Below are 14,740 nucleotides of genomic sequence, written 5' to 3' on the forward strand. Positions count from 1 at the left end.
CCAAACAGGATAAACTCAAAGAAATTACTGCAAGTCAAATCTTAATCAAACTTTTGAAAATGAAAGACAAAATAAAAATCTTTAAAGCACCTAGAGAGAAAGGCATCTTATTTATGGGGAAACACCAATTTGAAGGCCAGCAGATTTGTCTTATAAAACAAAGGATGCCAGAAAGAAATAGAATAATGTTTTTAAAGTATTGAAAGGAAAACACCATCAACATGAATTCTATATTGGAAAAATTATCCTTCAGGAATCAAGGGGAACTAAAGATATTCTCAGGTGAAGGCAAACTAAAAGAATTTGTTGCTAATCAACTTACCATTAAACATCATGTAACAGAAGTTCTGTAGAGAGAAAGGAAATAATAAAAGAATCTTGGAGCATCGGCAAGGAAGAAGAAACCACAGAGCAGAAATATGGATACACTCAATAGACTTTCCTTTTTCTCATGAGTTTTATAAATCACATTTGATGATTAAAACAAAAATTATAACAAATATCATTCAGATTTTATGCCACTCTTATGTATGGCAATTATCAAAGTGGCTATAAAGGTAATGTTTGTCTTTGCTAGTAAAACACAAGTATCTAGAGAATTAACTTCATAATTCACTCATCTTAATATGTCCATTGTATTTTTCAGAATGATTAACACATATTAGTGTTTAATAAATATTTAGTAAATGGATGAATGAAATGGGTAAATTTTTATTTACCATCATTTTCCCTCTTCCTCTAAATAACTAGTTAAATATTTCAAATATTAAAGTAATTATTATGCAAAGCATTTTTTAAAGCTCTGATTTCCTAAGAAATTATATTGTTTATAATTAGGTACCATTGTAGCCCACATTACTTTGGACCAACAGGTTTCTTTGTGTTATACTATTCTAAAGATAACATTCAATAATATTCCATGGATATGTGGCTTTATAGCTTCTTGGTAACTGAAGAAGTACAATGAGGATATTTCAGAAATGAGAAAAATATCCAGAATTTTAAAAACAATAAGAACCTTCAAGTTTGATAATATAGGTAACATTAACAGTTGAGGTGGGTCACAGGACTTAGCATACAAGTCCTGTGGCCTTATTTTTAACTTACGGTGTTTTTAATAGTGGCCCAATTCCATTCCTTTGTCTGAGATCTGTAGAAGTTTGGAAGTATTTTACAGAATAGTCTTTGTAGTCCTAAAATGTCTTAAATTTCTGTTTCATATTTCTCACATCCAGTTCAAGGCCCCACCCCTATTATAACTCTGGCCCCAACATGTTACAGAATATTAAAATGGATTAGTGTTTATTTTCTAAAGGAATTAGAAACTAGGAATTAAACATTAGGGATAATCCTGACCCTCCTTAAGTCTGAATGAATTCCTGATAGCTGTGGGCATCAGTGTATTTACAGGGATCCCTAAATAAAAATTAATTTCAGAATCCCATTCATCTTCAGGTAGTTTTCATCATGGCTGTGATAGGAGGAAGAGATGACCCTGAGATTTGCTTTCTGAAATTAGGCTGAAATTTGCTTTCTCAACTTAGGTAATCAAATGTATGATATTACAAATAGTAAAATGACACAGAAAGTATATGTGTAAGAAGTGAATCAGAACCAATCATGGTGACTCACGCCTATAATCCCAGCACTTTGGGATGCCAAGGTGGGTAGATCACTTGAGGTTAGGAGTTCAAGATCAGCCTGGCCAATATGACGAACCCCATCTCTAGAGAAATAAATCAGAACTAGCTTCCTCAAAAGACTGATAAATTTGATTAAAAAAATTAACTACTCTGTACAGGAAAAAAATACCATAAATGCAACTGAAAAAAATACATTATCCAAGGAAAGCTTATTTATATTACACAAGGCAGATGTATTTTGCTTAATTTATGAAGAGCTTATACATCCAATTGGAAGGAGATAAACTATCTTAGTGTGTATTGAATATGAGATATGAACAGGTATTTACAGACCAAAATGTACAAATCAATAATAAATACCTGAAAAGATATTCTACCTTTATTACAAAAAGGAAATTAAAAAGGAATCATTTTCACCAATCCAATTGGCAAATTTAAAAACTCTGATGCTATCCACTGCAGGCAAGAGTGCAATAAAAAGAAGCTCATATCATCAGAGAGAATGTAAGTTGGAACACGATTTCTGAAAAATAATTTGGCAATATTTTTTAAAAATTGACAGGGATATCCCTTTTGACTCAGAAAACCCACAACTTGGATTTGTTTTACCGATATGATTATCAAAGTTTTCCAAGATATATTTTAAAAGATATCTTTTGCAAAACAAAAATAACAAAAATACTGGGAACAATTAAAGTATCCAAAAATACTATCAAAAACAAAAACAGCAGCTAGCACTTAGCATTTTCTATGCTACCTACTCTTCTTAGCATTTAATTTGTATAGTTTTACATAACCCACACAAAATTTTGGAATTATACCTCTACTTTGCAGATGAAAAATGCAAACATGGGAAGTTCTTGCCCAGTGTTCTACAACTCTGAATTGGTAGAAATGGGATGTAAACCACTGCAGTCTGATTCCAGAGTGCCTACTCTTAAGTAAATACGATGCAGTTAAAAACAGGTAGAAGATAGATATCTATGTGTTAATATGGAAAAATCTCCAAGAGGAAAAATAAGGGATAAAATGTAGTGAAAGGTATGTTCTCTTGTATGTTTTTGTATGTGCATATAATTATACATGAAGTTTATTTGCTGAATAAAATCACCAAAAAAAAAACCAATTACCCAGTTTTTGCATTATATATGTGTGTTGTTTTTATTTAGCAACATCAATAGCCATTATATGGGAAAGCCATTATATAGTAGGGAATAGCCTACTTTTATTAACATCTTTGTAGTTTTGTGAATTAAAAAATATATAAATATTTTAAAGTAATAAAAGCAATGTTAATAATCCATGATCAGTAATTTTTAACCTAACAATTGTTAAATTCATTGATTCATATATTAATTTAATAATTCATTCCCTTAACAAATATTTATTAAATACTTAACCATACGACAATTTTCTAGGTCAGGAGTTGGCAAGCTTTTCCTGTAAAAGGCTAAATAGCAAATATTTTAGCCTCTGTAAATCCTATTGTCTTGGTCATAACTATTCAACTCAGCCTTTGTAGTGCAAATGCACCATAGGCAATATACAGTAATGTGCCACGTCATGAATGTTCCCGGCAATGACGGTTCGCAAATGTGACTGTGATCCTTCAAGCTTCATTTATATTAAGTGCACATACAAGTGTATCATTTTTTAATCTTTTATACTGTAGTTCTATTTTTCCATTTGTTTAATTCTATTTAGACACACAAACACTTACCACTGTGTTACAATTGCCTGTAGTATTCAGTACAGTAAGATGTTATCCAAGTTTGTAGCTTAGGAGCACTAGGCTATACCATCTAAGTTTATTAAACCCTCTATGGTGTTTGTATAGTGGTGAAATTGACTAAAGAGGGATGCATTTCTTAGAATGTTTGCTCATCATTAAGTGATGAAACTTTATTTACAAAACTTAGCATCAGATCATATTTAGCCCATGAGTCATAGTCAGCTAACTCCTGTTATAGGTGCTTAAATTTAGTCTGTCTAGGTGTCTTTAGCCTAAAAATACAATAAATACATATACTTATATAGAAAACATTCTCATATAATTTATATATGCATAGGGGACACTGTTCCATGGAGGGCAGGTCTATGCAACCTACCCCCAAGAGTCCAAGGAAGCTGAAAGGCTGAAGAAAGAAGCTGACAAATTCAGTTTCTTGGAAACATTTAATAAAGACTTACGAACAGAAGCAATCATCTGTGTCTCGGTCAGCAGCAAGACAAGATGGGGGATGCCTGTATCATTATTCCTTGGATCCAGGGCTTATATACTATAGGGAAAGGGTAAATTAGAAGGTATGTGTAGGACAACTGAAGCATGATAACATCGAGGTCGTTTGTCCTAAGGGCAGGATTTACAGTCAGTGCCTATTCTTACACAAGAAATGATAGACAAACTGGAAATCTTAGAGGTCTTTCTTGAACTAGGGTTATTCAGAAGTCAATATGGTGAATTAGTATCCAAGATGGAGTTGCTTTGGCCTACATACACACAGACACACAGACACACACACACACACACACACACACACACACACAGAGAGAAACATTAAAGGACCAACAAAGAAGTATACCTGACTCAAGTATTAACAAAAATGCAGGTGTAAAAATTAGAATGATAAAGAAATTAATAATATTAATGCCTATATATTGCACAAATAAGTTACTACAACACAAGAAATTAGAGAAGAAAACATGATGCAGTTTTATTCTCAGATTTTGCATAAAGAGGGGATGGAAATGTAAAGCAAATTAATTGCTTTCTGGATTGACATTAAAATGCATCAGGAAAATAGGCCATTGCTATTTTCTGATAAGTACAAGACATCTCATATCAAAACCAAGAAGTGAATTCTTCACTAAACAATTATATTGAAGTTGCTTCTGGAATATTTATTTTAGTTGCATACTTCAATATCAAAAGCATGCAGAATAACCCTGCAAGTTCTTCACAGACCAACAGTAAAAATAGTTAAAAGACAGAAGATATTAATATTAGTTGATGAAATGATAAGCATGTAACTAACAAATAACTGTATGATGATAAAGAAATTTAAAACTAAAGAGAAAAGATCCATTTGTCAGATTACTTAAAATGAATTTAAATAAAAATTTAACATTTTTATTTTATAAATCAATTTCCATTAGTAAACCCTGGATTTGAAATTAAGCCAGAAAAAAATAGTTGAATATATAACATAAGGGTTTACTCTGGTAGCAATGGATGAATATATGTAGCTCAATTTTCTTTAACATTAATCAGTTTACATAATAATAAAGGCTAAGTTATATATTATTTCCATGTGAATCATTCCATAAGCAGACTTGCTTGATTTCTGAAGCAAAAGGAAAGGAAGTTTTAGCAGTTTGGAGAATTTTTGTAGTTATAAATAAATGGTGCCCTTTTTGGATAACCTGATTCTTCCACAGATCACCACACTTGAAGGTGAAAAATGATGTGAAATAAGAGATAGAGGGATAAAATTCTGACCAGTGTACTTTTTTATTTCTTTCAAGCAATGTTGTACCCCAGTCTGCCATGGTTCACTGCAACCAAATTGGTTTTCTCTTCTTGCATCAATATCCAAATCATGGTTTCCTCAGAAGGCATACACTAACCTTCTCATTAATCCTGTGAATGTCATCAGTCAGGATGTTGGTAGCTAACCCAAAATGCCTTCTCAGAGGAGGTACATTAAGATTTCCAGAGTAGAATTTGTTGCGATTCATAAGAAATGCTAAAAAATATGCTCTTAACTAGATGTTCTTTTTATGAATTCCCTGTACATAGTATATCTTTGAAAAATTTAGAAAAATATCCCAGTACCTGAAAATCATTTTTGTGATTAAATGATATGCCTAAAACTAAAAACATGTGAATTGTACAAAAAGGAAATATATTAACATGTAGTCTTCTAATAAGTAAGTTACATTTAACAAAAGTTGAGAAGAAACAGTAATTGGAAAGGGCAATAGAAAAATCGCCATCTTAATAAATATAATTAACACTTAAATAATAACATAAAAATTGGTAAAATTTTTTAATTACCATACTGGGACTGGAGAACCCAAACTAATACTCATTTTTTATTTATTATGTAAAAGAATATATCAATCCATTCTTAAAATCTAATAAATGAAAGCCAAAAAATATTAGAATTCTCACTTAAAAGGTCTGCTTCATTACAGTTGTTTATGTATTATGATAATGAAATGATTATACACATTTTTTTATACCTAGGCCCATGCCAATATGTTTTTTGAGATCTCAATACATCAAGCTCAAGTAATTAATTCACACATATAAAGCCTACTTTTATTATGAAAATTTTAATCAAATCTCTTTTTTATATTAAAACTATATTCTAATTAAACAAAGTTAAGAATTTAACTCAGGCAGATTCAAAACAGCCAACTAGCTGTAGCCAGGAAGAACATCTCCCACTAAGAGACCTGAACATCAGGAAGACTGGTACACTCCAAGCAGATATTTGGAAGAAAGGCATTAACAGTCAACAGAGGGAAGACACAGGTGCTGGGCTGAAGGGCAAGGAAGCTGGGAACACACCATGGGGCTACTGTGCACCAGAACTCGTTTTTGGCCACCAGTGACTCCTGGGGAATGGGTGAGTTAAATAGGCAAGATGATCCCCTCTCACCATAGACCACTGGAATCCTGGCAGCTGGAGACCCCACAACCCCCAAGGGCACTTGAGGTGGCAGAGAGAGCTGCTTAGAGAGGTGGTAGGGACAGGACTCCAGCCTCTGTAGAGCCCAGAGTGTTTGTGGTGGGAGCGTCTTCAGTAGAGCATTACCAGGGATGCCCAAGGCACATCATGCTCCTCTAAGAGACTTTAACCACAAGGGACTACCTGGACAGAACAGAACAGTCTTGCCTTTGAAACAAGGCCAGTTTGATCTGAGCACTCCCTTGTTTGCTGGCCTTCCCCAGGGTCCCAGCCTGGCCACACCTATTGCAGTGCAGCCTCAGATGCCCAACTAGGGTGCTTCCCAGGAGTCCTCATCATAGCTCCTTCACTGGGAGATTATGTCTGACCATCAGGGAATTCCAGCAGAGCAGCCCCTGCCGACAGGCACCAGCCCACCCCCACTCTTCTCCCACAGTAGCCTCCTCATGCTACTTTGCCAGCAAGCACTTGTCCACAGCCACCCCTTCCACTGCTTTGCCAGTGTACATGGGCAGACGTCACCTCCCCTCCGACAATGGTGTGCGTGTGTGCACATCCTGCATGACACTGATGCTAGCATCCTGGTGTCAGCGCATCCTGGGTCTCGCACACCCAACCGCAATTCTTGCCTAGCTATGCCACCATTGCACGTGAGAATTTGTACACGGATGCCAACAACCCCACCTCCCCATGCCAACACCACCATCACTGCATGGGTGAGCATGGAGTTCAGCAGCCCAACGCCTGTCAGCACCCTGCTGCCACTGTGGGCATGAGCACATGCAGAAACACTGCAGCCCCAGACCCACTGCTACACCACCCCAGCCAATGCCCCTGTACCCCACCACACTGTCACTGATGCTGGAACGCATGAAGGAGCATGGATCCCACTGACACTGCTCTAAGGAAGCACTTTAGCGAGCACTACACATCAGAGTGCTGTGGCCAGTGGTACAAGAACACCTCAGCCCCTCAAATGCAGAAGGTTCACAACCTTGAGGGGCCAGAGAACAAAACCAGGGGCTAGGTAACCGCCCCCCAAGATTTGGAGCATGTAGCCCAGAAATGCTGAGCCGAGCCATGATGCCTTAAGTTCTTCCAGAAATGAAGCCAGTCAACTGAACCCACAATCAAAACTCCCAAGGACAGCAAAGAAGATAAAAGCATAAAGCCCCATCCAAAGGCCAGCAACTTCAAAGACTGAAGGAACGTCAGCCCATACAGATGAGAAAGAAGCAGCACAATAACTCTGGAAATTCAAAAAGCCAGTGTCTTCTAACCTCCAAAACTGTACTCGTTCCCCAGCAATGGTTTTTAACAAGGCTGAAATGGCTGAAATGACAGAAATAGAATTCAGAATAAGGATAGGAATGAACTTCATCAAGATTCAGAAGAAAGTGAAAACCCAATTCAAGGATTCTAAGGAATACAATAAAATGATGCAGGAGATGAAACACAAAATAACCATTTTAAGAAAGAACCAAACTGATCTGATAGAGCTGAAAAACTCATGTCAAGAATTTCAGAATATAATCCGAAGTATTAACAGCAGAATCAGCAAAGCTGAGGAAAGAATCTCAGAGCTCGAAGACTGGTTCTCCACAATAGCCAAACAAAAATAAAGAAAAAAGATTAAAGAAGAAAGAATGAAACCTCTGGCAAATATAGGACTAGGTAAAGAGACCAAATCTACATCTCACTGGCATCCCTGGAAGAGAGGGAGAGAAATCAAGCAAGTTGAAAAACCTACTTCAGAATATTGTTCATGAAAATTTCTCCAACCTCACCGGAAAAGCCAACATTCACATTCAGGAAATCCAGATAAGACTTCTGAGAAACTATACAAAATGACCATCCCCAACACACAGATTCTCCAAGAATGAAATTAAAGAAAAATCATTAAAGGCAGATAAAGAGAAGGGGCAGGTCACCATCAAAGGGAACCCCATCAGGTTAACAGAGGACCCTTCAGCAGAAATTCTACAAGCCAGAAAAGATTGGGAGCATATATTCAGTATTCTTAAAATGCTCATCATCACTGGCCTTCAGAGAAATGCAAATCAAAACCACAAGGAGATACCATCTCACACCAGTTAGAATGGCGATCATTAAAAAGTCAGGAAACAACAGGTGCTGGAGAGGATGTGGAGAAATAGGAACACTTTTACACTGTTGGTGGGACTGTAAACTAGTTCAACCATTGTGGAAGTCAGTGTGGCGATTCCTCAAGGATCTAGACCTAGAAATACCATTTGACTCAGCAATCTCATTACTGGGTATACACCCAAAGGATTATAAATCATGCTGCTATAAAGACACATGCACACATATGTTTACTGCAGCACTATTCACAATAGCAAAGACTTGGAACCAACCCAAATGTCCAACAATGATAGACTGGATTAAGAAAATGTGGCACATATACACCATGGAATACTATGCAGCCATAAAAAAGGATGAGTTCATGTCCTTTGTAGGGACATGGATGAAGCTGGAAACCATCATTCTCAGCGAACTATCGCAAGGACAAAAAACAAACACCACATGTTCTCACTCATAGGTGGGAATTGAACAATGAGAACACTTGGACACAGGAAGGGGAACATCACACACCGGGGCCTGTCATGGGGTAGGGGGAGAGGGGAGGGTTAGCATTAGGAGATATACCTAATGTAAATGATGAGTTAATGGGTACAGCACACCAACATGTCACATGTATACATATGTAACAAACCTGCATGTTGTGCACATGTACCCTAGAACTTAAAGTATAATAAAAATAAAAAAACAAAAAAAGAAAAAAAAAGAAAAATTCCAACCAAGAATTTAATATCCAGCCAAAGTAAGCCTCATAAGCAAAGGACAAAAAAGATCCTTTTCAAGTAAGCAAATGCTAAGGGAATTTGTTACCACCAGACCTATCTTACAAGTGGTCCTGAAGGAGGTGCTCAGTATAAAAATGAAAGACAATTACTTGCCACCACAAAAACACACTTACGTACATAGACTATTGACACTATAAAGCAACTACACAATAAAGTCTGCATAATAACTAGCTAACAACATGATCACCGAATCAAATTCACATACATCAATATTAACCTTGAATGTAAATGGGCTAAATGCCCCAAGTAAAAGGCACAGACTGGCAAGTTCAATAAAGAAGCAAAAACCAACAATACGCTTTCTTCAAGAGATCCACCTCACATGCAATAACACACAAATGCTCAAAGTAAATATATGAAGAAAAATCTACCAAGCAAACAGAAAACAGAAAAAAATCAGGGGTTGCTATTCTAATTTCAGATGAAACAGACTTCAAACTAACAAAGATAAAAAAAGAAGGGCATTACACAATGGTAAAGGCTTCAATTTAACAAGAAGACCTAACTGTCCTAAATATATTTGCATCCAATACAGGAGCACCAGATTAAAAAGTAAGTTCTTTGAGATGTAAGAAGAGACTTAGATTTCCACCCAATAATAGTAGTATTACACTGACACCATTAGACAGATCACTGAGACAGAAAAAAATAAATTAAAAATATACAAAGACATTTGGAACCTGAACTTGACACTTGACCAAGCTACCTAACAGACATCTACTGAACTCTCTACCCAAAACAACAGAATATACTTTCCTCTCATTTGCACATAGCACATATTCTAAAATGGACCACATAATTGGCCATAAAACAATCCTCAGTAGATTCAAAAAAGCCAAAATCATACCACCCACACTCTCAGATCATAACACAATAAAAACTGAAATAGATAGTAAGAAGATTGCTCAAAACTATACAATTGCAGGAAAATGAAACAACCTGCTCCAGAATGACTTTTGAATAAACAATGAAATTAAGGCAGTAATCAAAATATTGTTTGAAACTAATGAGAAAAAAAGATAAAACATAACAGAACCTCTGGGACATAGCTAAAGCAGAGTTAAGAGAGAAGTTTAATAGCACTAACTGCCCTCACCAAAAAGTGAGAAAAATCTAAAATTAACAACCTAACATTAAATTTAAAGGAGCTAGAGAAACAAGAGCAAACAAATCCCCAAGCTAGCAGAAAACAAGAAATAACCAAAATCAGAGCTGAACTGAAAAAAAAATGGGACGAGAAACCACACAAAGATCAATACATCCAAGAGTTTGTTTTCATGAAAGAATAAATAAAATGGACAGATGCCCAGCTAGACTAAGAGAAAAACAGAGAAGGTCCAAATAAACACAAGAAAAAATGACAAAGGAGTCATTACCACCATCTGCACAGAAATACAAGAATTCTGAGATTACTACGAACACCTCTATGCACAAAAATTAGAAAACTTAGAATAATAGATAAATTCCTGTACACATTCAACCTCCTGAGAATGCGCTAGGAAGAAACTGAATTCCTGAACAGACCAATAATGAGTTGCAAAATTGAATCAGTTATAAAAATCCTACCAATGAAAAAAAGCCCACAACCAGATGGATTCACAGCCAAATCCTACCAGATGTATAAGAAAGAGCTGATACCATTCCTACCGAAACTATTCCAAAAAATTGAGGAGAATGGACTCCTCACTAACTCATTCTACGAAGCCAGCATCATCCTGATACCAAAACCTGGCAGAGATTCAACTAAGAAAGAAAACTTTTACCCAGTATCCTTCAACGAAACTCTAGCAAAGAAAATCCAGCAGTGATCAAAAAGCTAATCCACCAAGATTAAGTAGACTTTTTCCCTGGGATGCAAGGTTGTTTCAATATATGCAAATCAATAAATGTGATTTATTACATAAACAGAAATAAAATAAAAAACCACATGATCATCTCACTAGATGCAGAAAAGGCTTTTGATAAAATTCAACATCCCTTCATGTTAAAAACTCTCAACAAATGAGGCATTGAAACAACATACATCGGAAGTATAAGAGCCATCTATGACAAACCCACAACCTACATCATACTGAATGGGCAAAAGGTGGTAGCATTTCCCTTGAGAATCAGAAGAAGACAATGATGCCCACTCTCACCACTCCTGTCCAAAATAGTATTGGAACCCTAGCCAAAGAAACCAGGTAAGAGAAAGAAATAAAAGGCATCCAAAGAGAAGAGAGGAAATCAAACTATCTCTGGTTGCAGATGATATGATTCTATACCTAGAAAATCAATCATCTCTGTCTGAAAGCCCCTTGATCTGATTTAAAAAAAAAAACTTCAGCAGAATTTCAAGATACAAAAATAATGTACAAAATCAGTAGCATTCTCATACACCAACAACATCCAAGCTGAGAGTCAAATCAATAATGCAATCCCATTCACAATAGCCACAAAAAGAAACAAATACGTAGGAATACAGCTAACAGGGAAGGTGAAATATCTCTACAGAAAAATTACAAAAGACTGCTAAAAGAAATCAGAGATGAAACATACAAATGGAAAAACAGTCCATGCTTACTGATAGGAAGAATCAATATTGTTAAAACGACAGTACTGCCCAAAGCAGTTTATAGATTCAACACTATTCCAAACTACCAATGACATTCTTCACGGAATTAGAAAAAAAAACATTTTAAAATTCATATGGAACCAAAAAAGAAACTAAATAGCCAAAGCAATCCTAAGCAAAAACAAGCAAACACACAACAACAACAACAGCAAAAACCAAAGCTGCAGGCTTCACACTACCCAACTTCAAACTACACTACAAGACTACAGTAGCCCAAACAGCATGGTACTGGTAAAAAAAAAAAAAACAGACATATAGAACAATGGAACAGGGTAGAGAGCCCAATATCAAGCTGCACACCTACAACCCTCTGATCTTTGAAGAAGTTGACAAAAACAAGCAACGGGAAAATAATTCCCTATTCAATAAATGGTGCTGGGATAACTGACTAGCCATATACAGAAGATTGAAATTGGAGCCCTTCCTTACACCATATAGAAAAGTCAACTCAAGATGGATTAAAGCCTTAAATATAAAACCTAAATCTATAAAAACCCTGAGAGATAACCTAATAAATACCATTCTGGACATGGAACCTGGCAAAGATTTCATGACAAAGACACCAAAAGCAACTGCAACAACAACAACAAAAAAATGACAAATGGGACCTGATTAAACTAAAGAGCTTCTGCCAGCAAAAGATTTCAACAGACAACCTGCAGAATGGGAGAAAATATTTGCAAGCTATGCATTCTACAAAGGTCTAATATCCAGCATCTATAAGTAACTTAAACAATTCTACAAGCAAAAACCAAGTAACCCCATTGAAAGTGGGCAGAGGACCCTTATCAAAAGAAGACATATTTGCGGCCAGCAAGCATATGAAAAAAACACTCAACAGCACTGATCGTTAGAGAAATGCAAGTCTAAACCACCATCTCACACCAGTCAGAGTGACTATTATTAAAAAGTCAAAAAATAAGAGATGCTGGCAAGGTTGCAGAGAAAAGGCAGTGCTTATACACCTCTGGTGGGAATGGAAATTAGTTAAGCCCTTGTGGAAAGCAGTGTTTTGTGATTCCTCAAAGAACTTAGAACAGAACTACCATTTGACTCAGCAATCCCATTATTGGGTATGTTCCCAAATGAATATAAATCATTCTACCATAAAGACATATGCATACATATGTTCATCACAGCACTATTCACAGTAGCAAGAATGGAATCAACCTAAATGCCTATCAATGGTAGATTGGATAAAGAAAATGTGGTACATATAGGCCGGGTGCGGTGGCTCATGCCTGTAATCCCAGCACTTTGGGAGGCCGAGGCGGGCAGATCATCAGGTCAGGAGATCAAGACCATCCTGGGTAACACGGTGAAACCCCGTCTCTACTAAAGAATACAAAAAATTACCAGGGCGTGGTGGCGGGCACCCATAGTCCCAGCTACTCGGGAGGCTGAGGCAGGAGAATGGCGTGAACCTCGGAGGTGGAGCTTGCAGTGAGTGGAGATCGTGCCACTGAACTCCAGCCTGGGTGACAGTGTGAGATTCTGTCTCAAAAAAAAAAAAAAGAAAAGAAAAGAAAAGGAAAAAAAAGAAAAGAAAATGTGGCACATATACTCCATGAAATACTGCTTAGTCATAGGAAGAAGGAGATCACGTTCTTTGCTGCAACATGGATGGAGCTGGAGGCCATTATCCTAAATGAACTAACACAGACACAGAAAACCAAATAGTGCATGTCCTCACTTATAAATGGAAGCTAAACATTGAGTACACATGGACACAAAGGGAAAAACAACAAATATTAGGACCTACTTGAGGGTGGAAGGTTGGTGGAGCGTGAGGATCAAAAAACTGTCTATCAGATAATATGCTTTATTACCTGGGTTATGAAAGAATCTGTACACCAAACCCCTATGACACACAATTTATCTATGCAAAAATCTGTACATGTGCCCCAACCCTAAAATAAAAATTAAAAAATAATAATAGCACATGTAAAAAGAATTTAATTCAATGCAACAAGTATTTATCAAATCATTTTTCCCTTGTACCAGAACATGCTAGGTGCTAGAATATAAACATGTCTAAAATAAAGTCCTTTCTTCAAAGGGCTTAAAATAAAATACTATGTATAAAATAAGCATACATATAGTTACAAAGCAAAAACCAGAAAAAAGGAAATGTTTTGAAAGAGTTCAAATAAATATTGATCTCCAATGACGTTAATGCCTATTTTACATTGGCGAGGGCTCATAATGGATTTCATAAAAGAAACAGCATTTAAATTGGGCTTTGAAGCTTAGATTGGATTTTTACAGACCTATGCAGATAATATTTATCTGTGGATGACACTGTGTGAGCAAACTAATGAGGCAGTGTCTAGAAGATATAGTCACACACAGACACACACATACACACACAAAAAATAGCTATAGCACAGGCTATGCATATGCATAGTGGGGGAAAGTTCAAAAATAGCGCAATAGTTTTATATAGACCGTTAAAGCCTAAAATGAGAAATTTAGACTTAGTTTAAAGAGTAACAGAAAGTCAGTCAGTACTTTGGGGCACAGCTAATCTGAATTTCCAGGACTGACAAATCCTAGGATTTGTCTACACATAGGATTCATAAATTGGAATGCAGAGAAATTTTAGCCAAAGAGGTTATTTTGGAGGTTATTGAAATAACCTAGCAAAGTGAGGATGACTATCACATATCAGAAGAAGAAATAGAAGGGAAAAGATGATGTGAAAAAATGTGATGAAAGTGATTGGGATAGGAGTGGGATGGATGAGATGAAGACAAAATTGACCTTAAGATTTTTTCATGGTTTCATTATTCCAATTGTTGCAGGAACTTCAAAATAATGTGCCTTCGTATTTATTTGTGCTTTTGTTTTTGCTTGCTTTTCCATTAAGTGTACCAGGACATTGGCAGGTTCCTTCACTCC

At 36.2% G+C, this 14,740-nt stretch overlaps 1 protein-coding gene across 7 annotated transcripts in view, besides 1 other annotated feature; it reads right to left on the reverse strand.

Moving 5' to 3' along the window:
- Positions 1 to 14,740, reverse strand: part of STPG2 (sperm tail PG-rich repeat containing 2) — a 702,228-nt gene that overhangs the window by 145,235 nt on the left and 542,253 nt on the right. The window lies entirely within an intron of this gene.
- Positions 1,349 to 2,548: an enhancer, noted in NCBI's record as "P300/CBP strongly-dependent group 1 enhancer chr4:98508983-98510182 (GRCh37/hg19 assembly coordinates)". NCBI's record gives its function as "activates an origin of replication core promoter dependent on BRD2, BRD4, P300/CBP, MED14 and CDK7 cofactors, with strong dependence on P300/CBP, by STARR-seq in HCT116 cells {active_cell/tissue: HCT116}" and the evidence as "EXISTENCE:reporter gene assay evidence [ECO:0000049][PMID:35650434]".

This window comes from Homo sapiens, chromosome 4 (assembly GCF_000001405.40).
Source record: "Homo sapiens chromosome 4, GRCh38.p14 Primary Assembly".
In the NCBI taxonomy this organism is placed as follows: domain Eukaryota; kingdom Metazoa; phylum Chordata; class Mammalia; order Primates; family Hominidae; genus Homo; species Homo sapiens.